The sequence below is a fragment of the Homo sapiens genome, chromosome 4 (genome assembly GCF_000001405.40).
Source record: "Homo sapiens chromosome 4, GRCh38.p14 Primary Assembly".
In the NCBI taxonomy this organism is placed as follows: Eukaryota; Metazoa; Chordata; class Mammalia; order Primates; family Hominidae; genus Homo; species Homo sapiens.
Window position 1 is genome coordinate 152,011,731 of NC_000004.12, and position 17,201 is coordinate 152,028,931.

Consider the following 17,201-nt stretch of genomic DNA (forward strand, 5'->3'; position numbering starts at 1 on the left):
ACTGAGAATGCAGAAGCCCCAGTGCTTTTCTGCCCATGGAAGAGACAGAGGGTGTGGCCATGGTTGTTATTTTTAGTGGTTTTCTCTTCTAACCCTTCCCCAAAAATGCCAGTTGGGGCAGGGAGTAAGTACGTGGTTCTTTATCAATGTCCAACTCTTCTTGGATCTGTTCACATAACTGACATGCATTTTGTGAGCTAACTTCCCACCTGGCTCCCTCTTATCCTTCCAGTAGCTCACGTTCCCGATGTCACCATGTCCTCACCTACCGAACTTGAATTTAATCTAAATTGAAATTTTACTGTCATGACACATTTGGAGTTGCCTGGGATCCTATCTGGGGCAAAGTGGACACAAAACATGAATAAATGAACTGATAATTCCCTGGCCTTTCTCCCCTAGTTGTAGGTACAGGTGTGTCTAGGGGTGGGGAGGTAATGGAAGATGGGGAAAACAGAACTGCCTTGGTGACTTGGGGTAGAAATGGGGGTGAAGCTTTTACTTGACATTTAAGTGAAATGGGGTAACAGTGAAAAGAAGAAGTGTGAGGGCTTCAGCGTGTCTGAAAGCAGACTTGTATGAGGAGAAGCAAAGAACCACAGAGACAATGTGATTTCTGAAGTGACGGGTGATGTTTTTCTTTAGTTTTCAATTCAATATTGAGGCACCGAGTATCTAGTCAGGAAGACCCTGTCAGGGAAGGGCCAAATCTTTATTGAGTCCTCCATTGGGCCAGTGGCTGGCTTTCATATGCATTATCTCATTGAGTCCTTGCAATGACCCTTCCACAGGGATTGTTCAGATTTTATAGGTGGAGAAACTGAGGCAGAAATGGGGTTAAGTCAGGGGTCCCCAACCCCAGGGCCAGAGACTGGTAGCAGTCTGTGCCCTGTTAGGAACCACGCCACACAGAAGCAGGTGAGCAGTGGCAAGCCAGCATTACCACCTGAGCCCCACCTTCTGTCAGATCAGGGCTGGCATTAGATTCTCATAAGAGCACAAGCCCTATTGTGAACTGTGCATGGCGGGGATCTAGGTTGCACATTCCTTATGAGAATCTAATGCCTGATAATCTGAAGTGGAACAGTTTCATCCCCAAACTATCTCCCAATTCCTGCCTACTATCTATGGAAAAATTGTCTTCCATGAAACTGGTCCCTGGTGGCAAAAAGGTTGGGGACTTCTGGGTTAAGTAATGGGCCCAAGGACACACACCAGCAAAGTGCAAAAATTAGTATTTCAATACAGTTTTTCCTATCACCTTCTTATATGACATCTTGGGACCACTTAGCCCATTAAAAACTTTGGGCCATAAAATTATGAATAATCCAATGTCTTTGAAATTGCCTTTGCAAAGATTATGACAGAGAGAGAAGTCTAGCATGACTGACTCCATCTTGCTTCTAGCCTCACAGGCTGGCTGTCTTTGCTCATTCCTAGGCATAGACCAAGCTAACCATAGGGGGAATTTAGTTTGCTGTTTAACTTTGAAGCAAGGATGATAATAGTCCCACGTAAAACTGACTTCTTCCTGTTCAGAGGCTGGAAACACCTTTGTAAGACTAATGAAAGGCCACAAGATTAGGATTATGGGAGGAGCTCAAATTCTGCTAAAAGGTAGGTATATTTCTATAACCTCTTACTGCTCAGGAGTCACGCAGCTAGGGGACACAAGATTTGTGACTTCTCCAATTGCTCCTACAGATGACATCACTATTGTAGAACCTAAGATTGGTCTTTTGAGATGTTTTCCTGGCTGACCCACCCGGACTCATGACTTATCATGATTCAACCCATCCTGTTGCTCCCAACCCAAGGGTGGATTCAGCTCATGGGGACCACGTTCCATATTCCTATGATTGCATCCCCAACCAATCCACAGCACCCACTCCCTAGTCCCCTGCACACCACACTGTCTTTGAAAAACCCTAATCTCCAAGCCTCTGGGGAAACTGATTTGAGCAAAAACCCCATCTCCTGTGTGGCTGGCCTCCTGTCAATAAAACTCTTTCTGTACTGTGATACCACGGTCTCAGTCACCTGCTTTTTTCTGTGCAGAGGGAAAGAAGAACCCATCAGCAATTATATCGTCTCCCTCAAGGCAAGTAAAATCTGAGAGATGGAGATAGAAAATCCAGGAATGGCTACTGAATTAAGAAGGAGCAAGAAAGGACAAAACAAGTGTTTTTAGGAAGGTGGCAACACCTCCGGTTGGTCTAAAGGATCTATGGGGAAGCAGCTGCAGACCCAGTTCACTGCTCCAGGGTCCTGCCACAGCCATAAGTCTAGAAATGACCCAGATCCTCAAACAGAGTTTTCCTGTGTCCCAGGAAGAGTTGCCCACTGGCCAGTTTCCTCACCTTCAGCTCATCAGGCAAAGCGGGGAAGAAGGCAGGCTGGAGTGCCTGGAAAGGACAGAGAGGAGGCATCCAGGTGGAGGGAGAAGAGATCCTTACAGGTAAAAGAGACGCATGGTTGGGCTGGGTGCCAGAGTTGATTTCCCCTCCTCTCTCCACACTAGGAACTGGTAATTGAGCACACATGTCTTTGTGTGAAGGGCTCCCAAATTGAAGTGATAGTGACACCCTCAAACCCTGAAGAAGAGCATAGGGGAGTAACTACTGCACCCTTATCTCTGCCCCCAGCTGGGAGGCTGATGGATACTATTAAACGGAGCCTCTGTAAGTGGCATTTGTGGTGGCAGGGGCGGGGCTGGGGGTTGGAGAGAGAAAGAAAGAGAAAGAGAAACAGAGAGAAGCAGACTGGGAAGTGCTTGCTGCTTTCCTTCTCAAAATAGTCCAGGTGGGAGGGGTGATAACTGAGAAATGCAAATGCATGATTTGGAGGATTTCATGGCTGTTGCCCAAGATAGTGCAGGGTGGGTGCCACCTGAAGACCAGGGCCTAAAACGCTCTTGGTTGCTACCTTAGATGCAAGAATTCAGACCTATGTCTCTAAATTAGAATAATTGCATTAATGCAGTCTCCTCCCTCAGGCTCCTCTTTAGGTTTCTAACACAGCACTGGAAGAGAATTCAGGAATAAAAGATGTGAGCTCAAGTCTTTATCAGCTATATGACCTTAGGAACTCCTCTTAACAACCTCTTTAGTCTAGATTGCTCATCAGCAACTTCACAGGGCCATTACTAAAAAACAAGCACCAGTGAAGCTGAAAGCATTTTGCACACTGTAGAATGTCACATGAATAGTGTTTATTTGTTACAACCAAGGTCTAGCCTTGGGAGGTCTAAAACACCACAGCCCAGTTTAACTGGATAGCAAGATCTTGCCCAAGCCCTCTGGCTTCCTTGTAACTAACTCTTGGGGTCCAGTGCAAAGTCCAGGAGGCCTTGGATGTCCTCTGTAGCATTCACGGGGCTCTGCTAGGGAAAAGCCAATGAACTTACTCCCAAGAGGCCAACAGGTAGCTAACAGGGGGACCTTGAAAGTGCTGCCCCCTATGCGGGTGCTCTGCTAACAAGGCCCTCTCAGGCATGAGGCCCGGGAGGGAAGTGGTGGTGTTCCTGCAGCCAGGCAAGGCAGAGCGGAACATGCAACATCATTCAAGGAGGCCCTGAGTTCTTCTCTGCCAAGGAGAGGGCCTGGCCCTGCACTTGTTTTAGGAAATGGGGCTGTTCAGTTTTATACCTACCACTTTCCTCACTCTAGGACCAACTAGAGAGACAGGACATCATCAGGCACCATCTTGACATCTCTGCTGGCCTCGGCAGGTAGGTTAGGGCACAGACCAGCATTCCTCATCACCAGTCATGGCAACCGGCTTCACATGCACTCTCCTCTGTGTGAAAGTGCCTGTGTGCTTCTCTGAGAGCTTAACTCCCAGCAGTGGGGATCCTGACGCCCTGTGCTCCCGCCCTCAGCCTTCTTCAGTGGCCCCGGGTTCCTGAGATGCAAAATGCCCATGCACAGCCAACCCTGTGCCCTTGGTCCTTTCCTTCTGGGCACACTCACTGTGCTCCCTACACCTCCTTGTTGGCCATACCCCACCCAGCTGCTCCTTTGTGTTTTTCCTTCCTCTCCTACTAAAACCTAGTATATGGAAAGAAGATGATGTCATTGATTATACTGAGACATAGATCTTATGTTCCTTTTCAGATTTCCTTGGCTGCAGCCTCCTACTCCTCTTCCTCCTCCGTCTCTTTCTCTTTTTGTTAGTGTCCCCACCTGTTCTGCTTTCCCTCTCCACTTTTTTTTTTTTCAGAAAAAGATAGTGCTATGGTTTGCATGTCCCCTCTAAAAATCATGTTGAAATTTAATTGCCATTATAACAGAATTAAGAGATAGGACTTTCAAGAGGTGATTAGGCCACCATGAGGGCTCTGCCCTCCTGAATGGCTTAGAGGGATGCCTTTATCGTGGGGGTGGATTAGTCATTGTGGGCGTGGGCTCCTGGTTACATGGTAACTTCAGCCCCTATTTTCTCTCTGTCTCGCGCGCTTGCTCACCATGTGATGCCTTCCACCCTCATCAGATGCCGACGCTGTGCTCTTGGTCTCCTCAGCCTCCAGAGCCGTGAGCCAAATAAACTTCTATTCTTTATAAGTTACCCCATCTGTGGTATTCTGTTATAGCAGCAGAAAATGGACTCAGACAGATGGTAAGGCAGACTTTATTCAGGATGATCATGGTAGGTACAAGGACTACTTCGATGAGGTTTTGCAGTCGGAGAGAGAGATTGGGCTTCCTGCCCCGCCACTTTCGGAGCTGAATAAAACACCACCATGTAAGGTGTGGGATCTGGCTGCCTGAGACGAGGGACTGAATTACATAATCTGGAAGTATGGGGGAGTAGCTCCCTTTGGGAGGAAACTTGACAAATGAGAGAGGAGAGACAGGAGGGAGCCTGACAGATTCCTCTCCTTTCTCCCTCCTGTGCACTATTCTGGGAGATGAGGTGTGCTTCTCCTTGCAGTTATTCTGAAGAAGTCCCTCGTACCAAGTAAAGATATCTGCTAAGCCCCTAGCTGTCCTCCTGGCTAGTATGGCCCAGAGTGAAAGCGCCTCCTGTGGAATCACTTCTCACCTTGACCTTCCTCACTTCCCTTTGACCTTTACCACCTGTCTCCTTGCCCAGTCCCTGCTTTTCTAGAGGACAATGGCCAAGACACCTGTTTAATTTTATTGAGAGATCAAGCCCCACCCACTCTCTTACTTCTCCTCCAAGGTATTTAACACATCTCTAATTGTGGCCTTTATATTTGTTAATCATTAAAGGAAGCGAAGGAGGAAGAGGAGGCATGGGTTAGGGGAGGAGGAGAGACAGGAGTTTCCTCTCTTGCTCCTAAAAGCTCACTCCATTGGCCTTCATTTACCCTGAAGGGAAAATCTGCCATGCTTCTATCTACAGAGTTCCAAGCATTTTAGAAGCAGACAGGTTAGAATGCAGAAAAATGTCAGTGAGGTGGGATTTCCGGAGAATAGTTTGGCAAGCATTTTCCAGGCTGAGCATAGCTTGAAAAAGGCCCTTTTCTGTCTATCGACTAAAAACTTGCCCAGAAAGGAAAAATCATAGCAGGCATAGCTCAGGTACTTCGAAGGACTTCTGTTCTCTCTCTCTTTTAAGACAACATAATCAATGAAAGGATTTGGAAAAAATGAACTATAGAGAGCATAAGGAGTCTTGAAGTGGGTTTTCATCTGCATCGCTTCTCTTGCAGAGGTTTACTTTTATTTGCCTTTCGAAAGCTGGGGCTGTTTCAATAGCAGCTTTCATCCCATCAGCCAGGCTGATGAGCACGGAGGTGGGCTGTCCTTTCGCCTCTCCTACTGAAGGAGCTGGAGTTCCACATGTGGTATATGCGTTTGCAACAGGCTGCTGGGAATCAGTGATCAGCTTTCTGGTGGTATCTGGTAAATAAGAATGTCTCCAATGTGCAAATTGCAGAAATTGGCTTCTCCCACTCCTCTTTTGCCAGGAAATGAGGAACGCACAGAGGAGGAACACTGAAGACCTGGGGAACATTCATTTTCATGTTACTGTATTACGGTGTTGTGTTTGGTGGGTTCAGGGGAGACAGCAGAGGGGGCCGGACTAGAAGGAATGGGCTGGAGGTTGACTTGGCCGAGTCCCATGGGTCAGAGAAGGCAATTTCAGCCACTAAAGAGCGAAAATGTCACAGGATCTCTATCCACTTCCACATTTATGCAGACTGAAACCCCACATGCCCCAAACTGAATTCATCTTCTTCCCTCCAAAGCCTGTTCTTTTCTGCTGGCCCTTCTGTCTCCCAATTGCTCCAATGAGTGTAAGGAACTAAAGTCATCTTGACTCTCCCTCTTCCTTATCTCATTAATACATCTTACGAGTTTTATAAGATTATAGTATCTCTGGAATCATCTATCCTCCCACCTCCACTTCTCCATCTTAGTCCAAGCACTTGTCCCTTCTGGCCTGGATGACTGCAATGGCCGCATTCTTGTTGTCTCCCAATCCATTCCTCAGCCTGCAGGAAAGTTCACATTTTTTTAAGGCTAAAGATCATATTGTTATCCCTCTTGCTCTAAAGCTCTTGCATGTTTTCCACTGCCCTTTAAGTTTGGGCTCAAGTCTCAAAGTCCTTAACCATGATTTCCTAGGACTTCCTCAGTGCAGTCCTGCCCTTACCCACCCATCCCTGCTCTCCTCCACTGCCTCCCTGCTCCTGGGTGCCTTCAGGCCTTTCACGTGCTCACACTCATCTCAGAGCCTCTGACTATGTGGTTCCCTCTGCCTGATATCAGGGTTCAGAACATGATACCCCAGAGTATGGCTCCTTGGTATGCTGGGTACTTTGAACTGACAGAGATTACAAGGGCCTCGGAAACAAGGTCACTCTGACCTTCTCCTATCCTGCTTTCTCCCTCAAACAAGGCACAGAAACTAGAATTCTTCATCTCAAAGCAAGTCATAAACCTAGGAAGGTCTTTGACCTTCTCCCTTCCCTGCTGAAAGCCCTCCTGTGACAGGTGTCCTGCCCCATACCTTGCGGGGAGGCATGTCTTACAGAGACACAGAAAAGACTCTGGACAAACAGGCCCTGCAGACCTCCACTGCCCCTCAGTTCATTCCCATTAGATCAGACCCTTTTTTGTCCAATCGTATTTCTTCATAACCATGCACTTTTTTCTTCAGACCTTACATAAAAATGTAACTTTCTTTCGGTTTTTGGGTCTTCATTTCTGAAGACTTCATGTCACATAAAACTTTGTTAAGTAAGTTTGTTGTGCTTTCCTTGTGTTACACTCTTTCATTATCAGAATTGTCAGTCATGATTGTATGACTGATGGATGAAGAAAAGGTATGACTTTTTCCCCCCTACCCTGGAACGGCCCTTCTTTGCTCTGTTCTCTTCCATAGCACCAAGCCTGGTGTCATTTATTTACCTATGTTTTTGTGTTTCTCACTTGACTCAGCTCCATGGGGGAAGGCACTATGTCTGTTTTGGTTCCCACTCCATCCCTAGCAGGCAACACAATGCCTAGCACCTATTAGATGCTGTCTCTATAGATATAGATATAGATTATATGTAGATTATACATAGAATATTTATAGAATTAATGAGATTATGGTAAAACTGCTTTGGAATTATAAAGGCTATACAATACCGGTAATTTCTATTTCTGCCTTCCACCTCAGAAAAGGCAGGATAGATATTCTATTATCATTTAAACTTGAGTGGAACTTATTTATATCTGTGTGTTGAGGCTTCCAGGTATTTGCATCTTAAACTTTTTATTTATACCTGCAGAATGAAGGGATTTGTGCCTCTTTAAAGGAATTTCAGGCAATAGCCAGCAGGTGGGTTCATTAAGGAAGGAACAGAACACTTTCATAACTATTTTATTTCTTTTTTTACAGTTTGGAAACTGAAAAACGAAGAGACAAGCAGCTGTGGGCAAAGGAAGTAGGTGGGGTGGTAGGCACGGGCTTTGGATAAGTTGCCTAGCCCCCTTAGGAGTGCTCTCCTCACCTCCATTCCCACCTGCAGGGGAGGAGGAGCTGCCAGCCTGCTGGGAAGGCTGCTTGGTGGAGTAGGAGGGGCCAGGGCTACTGGCAGACATCCTGAGTTCAAACCCGCTATTGACCCTGGGATTTTGAGTAGTCACTAATTTCTGCCTCAGTTTCCTTATTCGTAAAACAAAGCTGTAATCCCTGATCTCACAGGATTATTGTGAAGATTAAAGAGATAATGTATCAGAAAACTCTTGGCCAGATGCAGTGACTCATCCCCATAATCCCAGCACTTTGAGAGGCTGAGGTAGGCAGATAGCTTGATCCCAGGAGTTCCTGACCAGCCTGGGCAACATGGTGAAACCCTGTCTCTACAAAAAATACAAAAATTAGCCAGTCACGGTGACACGCATCTGTAGTCCCAGCTACTCAGGAGGCTGAGGTGGGAGTACCACCTGAGCCTGGGAGGTCGAGGCTGCAATAAGATTGTGGCACTGCATTCCAGCCTGGGTGACAGAGTAGGATTCTGTCTAAAAAAAAGAGAGACAGAGAGAGAGAGGGAAGAAAGGAAAGGAAAAAGGAAAGGAAAGGAAAGGAAAGGAAAGGAAAGGAAAGGAAAGGAAAGGAAAGGAAAGGAAAGGAAAGCCTTCATAAACTGCAAATATAAATTAAAGGTGGTATGATTACGCCACTAAACCAATCTTCCCAAATACAAAAATTAAGTCTGACTTTCCTTCACCATGCCCTGCCCCCACCACTGTAACTCCATGGACATGATCGTGTGTCAAGACCAACACTGAGTATCTGCATTTCTCCCAGTTCCAGTGGTCTGTAAACTCATAGGACGGGTCTTAGCCATTTGATGTCCCTAGTAACCTGTAGTGTCAGATGCTCAATATGCCTTGAATAAACATTGAGTGAATAAATGTAAGGTGGGAAGCATGGAGGAGGTCAGTCTGAAGGAAAAGGTGAAAAGGTAAGAGTGGGCTAGATCTCTAGAAAATTTTACATGCTCTTGGAAATCAGGAAGAACAATTAGAGGCACTGGATTAACTGGAGTGCACCTCCTTAAGTCTTTTGGCTCAAATGTCAACAACCAGAATTCACTTGGAGTAGAGTGAGCTTCAGGGATGCTTAATTTAGCAAGGCTGAATTCAGCTTTGGTGGTCTTTCCTTAGTGGCAGGGAAGGGGTGCCCTGCTGAGCTGCAGGGAGCAGTGATATATTAGGAATATCTAGATTTGGGAACCTTTCAAAAGATGCATGTCCTTGTCTTACACCCAAACAAAGCTGATAGAGCCAAAATTCAAAGAAACAGTTCTTCCTAGTCCCTGAAAAAAAGTGAAACATCTATCCATCTATTAAAAATTTGCTAGGTCCCTGCTGTGTGCTGTACTAGGTGCTGGAGTGCCATAAAAGGAATCACACTCGAGGCTGATCACAAGACTTCTTTTCCACTTGGAAGAAGCTCATGGGAGCCAGCACTGATGCAGGTCCAGGCCTGGGGAAAGCATATGCCCCCAAGACCCATCAAGCTTGTCCCTGCCATCTCTCTCCATCATTCTAGCTTCGCCCTAGCTTGTGGGTACCACGGGTACCTATTTCCAGGAACCCAGGGAATTCCTTTTGACCTTGCTGGGAAACTGCAAATCACCCAACAGGAGCTTAGCTGTGCAGCCAACATTTGGAACTACTCAATAGCTTTCTGGAGTCAACAAATAAGGAAATAATTTCTTTAGGATAAAAAAATGTTTTGTTTTAGTAAAGGGTAATGGCACTCCATTGCGAATGGAAACTGTTCTCCCCTTGGTTTAAGTGGAGCCCATTTGTCAGCACTGCTTGAGGCCTGCGAAGTGACCATCTAGGTATTTTTCTCAAGTGAAGAATGATCTGAGGACATCTTCGCCACTGGGTCCCTCTTACTCATGTGACTTCCAAGTTTTCTGGTGGTAAAGTTGGAGGCAGAGAGAGCATGCCCCTGAATTGGACAGTAGAGTGTCCTTCAGCTGATAGAAGATCACTTCAGGGCAGGTGGAGCAGCCACAGAAGAAAATGGTAATTACTCAACTGCTCGTGCACCTCATTTTGAATCTATCCTGCTCTTCAGCTCTTTCTGCACATAAAGGAAGAGGCTCCTTGTCATTTGAAAAGATTGCACCAAAGTGGCAGTGTTGACAGAGCCTTCCCTGTCAAAGCCACTTTCTCAATACATTTAATTAGCAAGGGCTTCCAAGGGCCCCCTGCCAGCCCAACACAGGCCTGGATGACACCTGAGTGAGGTTGCCACAGTCCCAGCCAAACCCCTTCAAGCTCCATTTTTAGATGTACTACAACCAGCTAGCTTTCAGCAAGTTCCCCTCCCGCCCCTTTGCCCAATGCTGGTCAGCTGGGCAGCTTGACTGTGAAGCCTTTCTTTCCAGGCCATGGGGAAAGAACCAAAGGAAGCTGCTTTCTCTCATGCATACAGTATTTTTGAACAAAGAGGCCTGTATGCATTGCAACAACAGCGTCTCTAGATCCTGAGCGTGGGCCCCGCTTGGCAGAGGGTCAGCAGCATGGTGGAGGGCATGCATTGGAATACAGATTGCCACCAAGCCTTTGGGGCCATGCCCATCATGTGGCTGGGCCTGGCTCTGGCAGCCCGACATTCAGCTGCCAACAGCTTGCAGGCCTGTTTGCTGCATGGCCAGCATCCTGTTTGGTGATTTGATGAGAGTCCCAGGCTCTCTTTGCATATCAGAACACTGGTCTCCGTGCACCTCGCGTGGGATGACTGTATCTGGACAACTGAGATGTTCCTTGCCATTGATTAAATGCTTAGCAAGCTCAGAAAATACAGCTGGAAACTCCTTGGAGCCCTCCGCCTACTGCTCTTCATCCACAGCCTCTCCCTGCAAAGCGGGGCTTTATTATTCTTGGAGAGAGGCAGCTATCTGTTACAGGGTACTGTCTTGCAATAGGGCTGAAATACTTCAGATTTGGATAAAGATAAGAAATATTGAATGGCCCCTCCCTTTATTTTCTAAACAGTTACCACCCCTACAATCATAACTAGTGATGTCACTGTGGGACCAGTGTAGCTGAAATGCATACTTGCCCTTTTAACTCAGCTTTAATGCTTTTGTACAAGCTATTTGCAAAGTTACATACTCTTTAGTGTGAAAATTGGCTGTTTACTTGTATCTCACACACAGCAAAATCGAAAGCAGGACAAGTGTGTTGCTTTTCTACGACATCCGTGCATCCTTCATGCTCTCTCGGTGCTCATATCCAGTGACCTCTCCCTCTTCTCCCCATTCATCAGGCTCTGCCTGCCCTCTCTCTCTTTATTCTGGACTCAGTGGCTCATCCAGTCTCACCAGACACTCACAAAGCAAAATTCCAACCTGTCAACCTTTGTCTTGCTCCGTCTCTGAGACTGAGTACTCCCGGGGAAATGGACTCTACTGCATAGGCCAGGCCACTACAAGTTCATGGCCCCTGACCTCTGCTGGGCTTCAGGGCTGCCCATCTCCCCAGCTGTCCTGGAAGAGCTTCCTCTCCTCTGCCCCTAGGTGACCATTCCAAGCATTCTAGCACTCTCCCCAAAGCTCCTACTCAACCTTCTGTCTCATACTTAGCACATAAACCTGTCTCCAACATCAAGGCCATCAGGCCCAATGTCCCTCAACTTTCTACCTCCTTCCTACAAACACCTCTGCACCTACCCCATCCTCACCTTCAGTCTCTGAGGTGTGTTCCTCTTTCTTTCGTGTCCTTTGCTCTATCCTTTGATGTCTACTCCAGACTTTGATAGTCATTTTTTAAAATTGCTTTAATCTCCCTTGACTATACTTGAGTTTTGTGCCCCGTATCTCCCTTTCGCTGTTGCTCAGCTTCCCTCCTCCCATTCTCTTCCAAACTTCCTGCTGCCTACACGTCCGTTCGCCCTTCAGCTCTCTGGAATCTGGCTTCTGTTCCCACCCACCATACTCCTAAAACTGCTGTCACTGAGGTGACCGCCAACTTCCCTGATAACAAATTGAATAGACTCGTTTCAATCCTTTCCTGACTAAGACTTTCTGTGGCATTTGAAAACATGGTTTTCCTTCTTTGAAGCTTCCTGAGCCCTGAACTTCCATATGCTATGTTCTCGATTCTGCACTGCCTGTCTGCAGGGGCCCGTCTTCCCGGCCCGCGCCTGCTGCGTGCCTATTGGTGTTCCCCAGGATTCTCTTCTAACTCACTGTTCCTCTTGTGCTGCCACACACACTCCCTGGAGAAGCTCATCCTCTCTCGTGGGACATGCAAATTACTCTCAAATCCCTGTCTCCAATGGAACTCTTTGCCCTAGCTTTTCCCATAGGCAACACAAAGCCAGCACTCCCAAAATGGCAGTGGGAGCACAGTCATTTTCCTGTTAAACTGCCCACTCTCCCCACCTTGCTAAACGGCACTGTGGCCCCCTGCAGGGGTGGGGGTGCTGCTACCGCACTACCCGCTCGCTACACGCATCCACTCAATTGCCATGTCCTCCCAAATCTCTCTCCTAAGTATCTCCTAAAGGTCTCCCTCTCTCCCTGTTATCTTACCTCCATCCACAGCTGCCTGGATGTTTGCCTTGTTTGCAGGCCTTACCATCTTCTTCCTAGCTGCTGGAGTGACCCCTCTGAACAATGAAACTGGTCTTGCCAAGTCCCTGCTTCAAACCTTTTCATCGTCCCTCTACCACCTCCTTAAGTCTGGACTCTATGCAGATCGTGGGAGGTCTTCTGGGGCCAGAGCTGCTGCTCCTTCTCCGCAGCCTTGTGCTTTCTGCACCTGCAGTGCCAAATCACCGGTGCTGGCTCTGGTTTTCCCCTCAGCGCAAAGTGGCTTGTCCTCCTCCTCCCTGCCCACTCATCTCTTCACTTGGTGGAACCTTATTCATCCTTAACACCAGGTAAGTTGTACCCTCTTCATCACTCCTCCCTGACCATCTTGTAAATGCTCCTATAATGCCCTGAGCCTATCCCCTATGTTATGGATTGAATTCTGTTTCCAAAATTAGTGTATTGAAGTCCTAACCTCAGAACCTCAGACTGACCTTATTTGGAAATAGAATCATTGCAGATGCAATTAGTTAAGATGAGGTCCTATTGCAGTAGAGTGGGCCCTAATCCAATATGACTAGTGTTCTTATAAAAAGGAGAAATTAGGACACAGACCCACACAGACCTACAAAAGCACCATGGGAAGATAAAGCCAGAGGAGGGATAATGCTTCCACAAGCCAAGGAACACCAGAGATGACCCACAAACCTCCAGAAGTTGTGGGGGGCCTGGAACAGAGCCTTCCCTGGCAGCTCTTAAAAGGAAGCTCTGGCCTCCAGAAATGGGAGACAATACACTTCTATTGTGAAGCCACCAGCATGTGGTACTCTGTGACAGCAGCCCTAGGAAACAGACACACCCATCATTGTGGTTTGTGTTTTATTGTAATGACCTGCCTGTCCATGTTCACCACTCCCCAGTGTGAACTTCCTAAAGGCAGAAAAGGTGTCTTATTTATCCTTGTAGCTCTAGTGCCCAAAATAATGTGCAAAGCATGAAAAAACTCAATAAGTGTTTGATGAATGAATTAATGAAAGCACAACATCCCCAGAAAGTCAGACAAACCACAGACTAAGAAGTGTAACTGATTTGCTGTACCTCAGCACCCTACTTTCTTTGTTGAATCTGTCCATATCTTCCTGTCCTTTATGGGTGAGTGTGCTGGTTATTCTCCGCTTGTCCTTCCAGAGGAATTTTCTGCTTATTTTCTGGCTATGGCTATTGTCTTCTGGGAAGCCATTTTGTAAGGTTCCAAATCTTGGTAGGTTCTGGTCACCCTGCTCTGTCCCTTTGTCCCTTCAGGCCTAAGGATGGCTAGGACACCTCACTGTTGCTAGTCCCAGGGGCTTCACTCCTTGGTGTCCTCTTATTTCTGCCCACTCCTCTGCAAACAGTTTCTTCATTCAATGCTGGTGAGCCATCTGTTTCCTGCTGGGACCCTGAGGAATACAGTTGGTAGGCAGGTGGGTGGGGACAGAGGTTCAAAAATAATCACATTTTAAAAAATGATCTTCTAAATCCCATTGCTTAATTCTCTTCCACTTCTGTTTTTAAAGCACCACATACCTAGCATTTTTACATAAAGCCTGCTATTTGACCTATGCATTTGCTATGCATTTGACTAAACATAGAAAATGTTTCATTTAATTTGACATTTTGTTGAACACCTGTGATGGGCCAGGCACAGTGATGGGGATTGAGGATCCAAAGAGGAAAAGATCCCATGTCTGCTAAAAAAGACTCAGAATCCAGTAGGGAGACAGACACGCCACCAACAGAGCACAGGGTTTATGGGAGCAGTGTGGAGGATGCTGTGCCGGCCTTGGGGTGGGTCCCACAGATGAACACTGAAATGTGGTTTATCTCCTCCCCAATCTAGACATCTTGGAGCTACACTGGTCCTTCTACTTTTATTGTTTTTCACAGATCATCTTCACATTTTTTCATCAAAGAGATGGCCTTCTGTCAACCAAATGCTCATAGAATGCTCATTTAAGATGTTTTTGGGTCAAACTTTCACCTTATATTTTCTCTTTTCCCAACATGATAGGTCTCTTATGTTGGAGAAGACTTTATATGATCACTTGGACCAGTAATTGCCAATTCTGGATGGTCACCAGAGGGTTCTTTAAAAACAGTAAGTCCTGAGCCTTGTTACCATTCTACCGAATCAAACCCCGGGGGGAGGGGGGAGCTGGGGAGAAGGAGATCTAGGGGGTCAGGGTTTTTTTCAAGACCCTGTGATGATTCTGATGTTCAGTCTGGCTGGGAACCATTGGTCTGGGTTAGCTCCTTTTTACAGCAATTATAATTTAGGACAGGGTTTTTTTTTTCCTAAGAGTGGTTCCTTGGCACCTGAGTGTGTCATACTGGCATAAGGATAGATATATAGATAAGTAGAATAGAAGTGAGAGTCCAGAAATCAGCCTTGATATTTACAGTGAATTGATTTTCTACAAGGGAGTCAGGACTATCTAAAGTGATCATTCTTTTCAACAAGTGGTGCTAGAATAATAGGTTGTTCACATGCAAAAGAATGAAGTTGGACCCCCCCACCTCACACCATATAGAAAAATTAACTCAAAATGGATCAGTAACCTAAATGTAAGAGCTAAAACTATAAAACTCTTAGGAAAAAACACAGACATAAATCTTCATGTCTTTGAATTAGGCAATGGTTTCTTAGATATAATATGAAGTGCTCAAGAAACAAAAGAGAAATAGATAAATTGGACTTCATCAAAATTAAAAGCTCATGTCCATCAAAAGACACTATCAAGAGAGTTAAAAGATAACTCACAGAATGAGATAAAATATTTGCAAATAATATATCTGGTATGAGATTAACATCCAGAACATATAAAGAGCACCTAAAACTCAGTAACAACAAAAAACACACAACCCAATAAAAAAAATGGGCAAAGCACTTGAATAAACGTTTCTCCAAAGAACATATACAAATGGACAATAAGCACATGAAAAGATGCTCAACACAACCAGTCATTAGGAAAATGCATATCAAAATCACGGAGGGATATTCCCTTCCCACCTACTAGGGTAGCTATAATGAAAGAGATGGACAATAACAAGTGTTAATGAGGATGCAAGGAAGTTGAAACCCTCATACATTGTTGGTGGGAATGCAAAATGTTTCAGCTGCTGCAGAAGACAGTTTGAGCAGCTCCTCAAAAAGTTAAGCATAGAGTTAGCAAATAACCTAGCAATTTCCACTCTCTTGGCTATATACCATTGAACTGGAAACACAAGTCCACACAAAAACTCACTCTAAATGTTTGTATCAGCATTATTTGTAATATCCAAAAAGTGGAAACAATCTAAATGTCTGTCACCTGATGAATGGATAAACAAAATGCAGTATAGATCCATACAATGGAGTATTATGCAGTCTATAAAGAAGAATGATGTACTGATCCATGGTACACCATGGATGAACCTTGAAAACATTATGCTCAATGAAAGAAGCAAGTCACAAAAGACCATATATTATACGATTCCATTACTAGGAAATATTCAGAATAGACAAATGCATAGAGACCAGAAAGCAGTTTAGTAGTTTCCAAGGACTGAGGGGAAGGAGCAATGGGAAGTGACTGTTAATGAATGTGAGTTTCTTCTTGGAGTGATAAAAATGTCCTGGAATTAGATAGCGGTGATGGTTGCATAATTTTGTGAATATACTAAAACCACTGGATTGTACACTTCAAAAGGTGAATTTTATGACATGTGAAATTTATCTCAGTTTCTTAAAATGAATTAATTTTCTTCAAAATTACCTGGGGATCTGTATTTGAAATAAGTCCCCAAGATGATTCTTAGGCACACTGAGATTGGAAAACCACAGCCATAACTATCTCCTTTGTATCACTTCATATCCTCTGAAAATTCTAAGTATCTAAAATCTGTTAAAAAAAAAAAAAACTAAACAAAACAAACAAGTCAAAAATAGGCAACCCAGGGCATTGAAAGTGACCATTCATTGAACAAATGTTTAGCTGCTGCTTGCTGTGTAGCAGAGCAGGCTGGGCTCAGTGAGCTAGACACAAACCCCATTGTAAAAGCATTAGAGTCCAGGAGGGAGGCAGACATGCAAATAAATGGTTGCAATACAAAAAGACACCTGTGACATCTGCTTCAATGGAGATGTGTCCAGAGCAGAGCAAGGTTGATCAGGAGCTCCAAAGCCAATCCAGTGGAGCCAAAGGGTGAGGCAGTATTTGAGTTGAGGCTCAAGAGCGGGAGACCAAGGAGAGAGTATGAGACACGGGCAGGAGGAACAGCAGGTGCAAAGCCACAGAGCTTTAGGAGCACCTGGTGTATTAACGCAACTGCAAGAGGCTGAAACAAAATGCCCAAGGGCAAGAGGTGGGAGAGGAAGCAGAGATTTACATTTTGTGTGCATTGAGAAGCCACTGGAGAATTTAGAAAAATTCTGCACCACCCCTGGTTTGGGAAGATGAGTCTGATGGCGGGGTTGGAGATTGGAGAATTCCAGAGGGCTGGAAGGCTGGTGGGAAGAAGGCTTTGTCTCAAGTGCTGAAGCCCCAGACTAGGAGAGTAGAAGGGAGAAGAGGAGAGAGATTGGTTCTATACCTGTTTAGGAAGAAGAGCATATAGTCCCTGGGGACAGACCAAATGCACCATAGGACCTTTAACAGCATCC

General features: G+C 45.6%; 2 annotated features.

Moving 5' to 3' along the window:
* Positions 2,663-2,822: an enhancer, noted in NCBI's record as "active region_22025". NCBI's record gives its function as "activates an Ori minimal core promoter by ATAC-STARR-seq in GM12878 lymphoblastoid cells {active_cell/tissue: GM12878}" and the evidence as "EXISTENCE:reporter gene assay evidence [ECO:0000049][PMID:35858748]".
* Positions 12,155-12,654: an enhancer, noted in NCBI's record as "H3K4me1 hESC enhancer chr4:152945037-152945536 (GRCh37/hg19 assembly coordinates)". NCBI's record gives its function as "activates a minimal SCP1, AML or CMV promoter by ChIP-STARR-seq in naive H9 embryonic stem cells {active_cell/tissue: H9 hESC(naive)}" and the evidence as "EXISTENCE:reporter gene assay evidence [ECO:0000049][PMID:30033119]".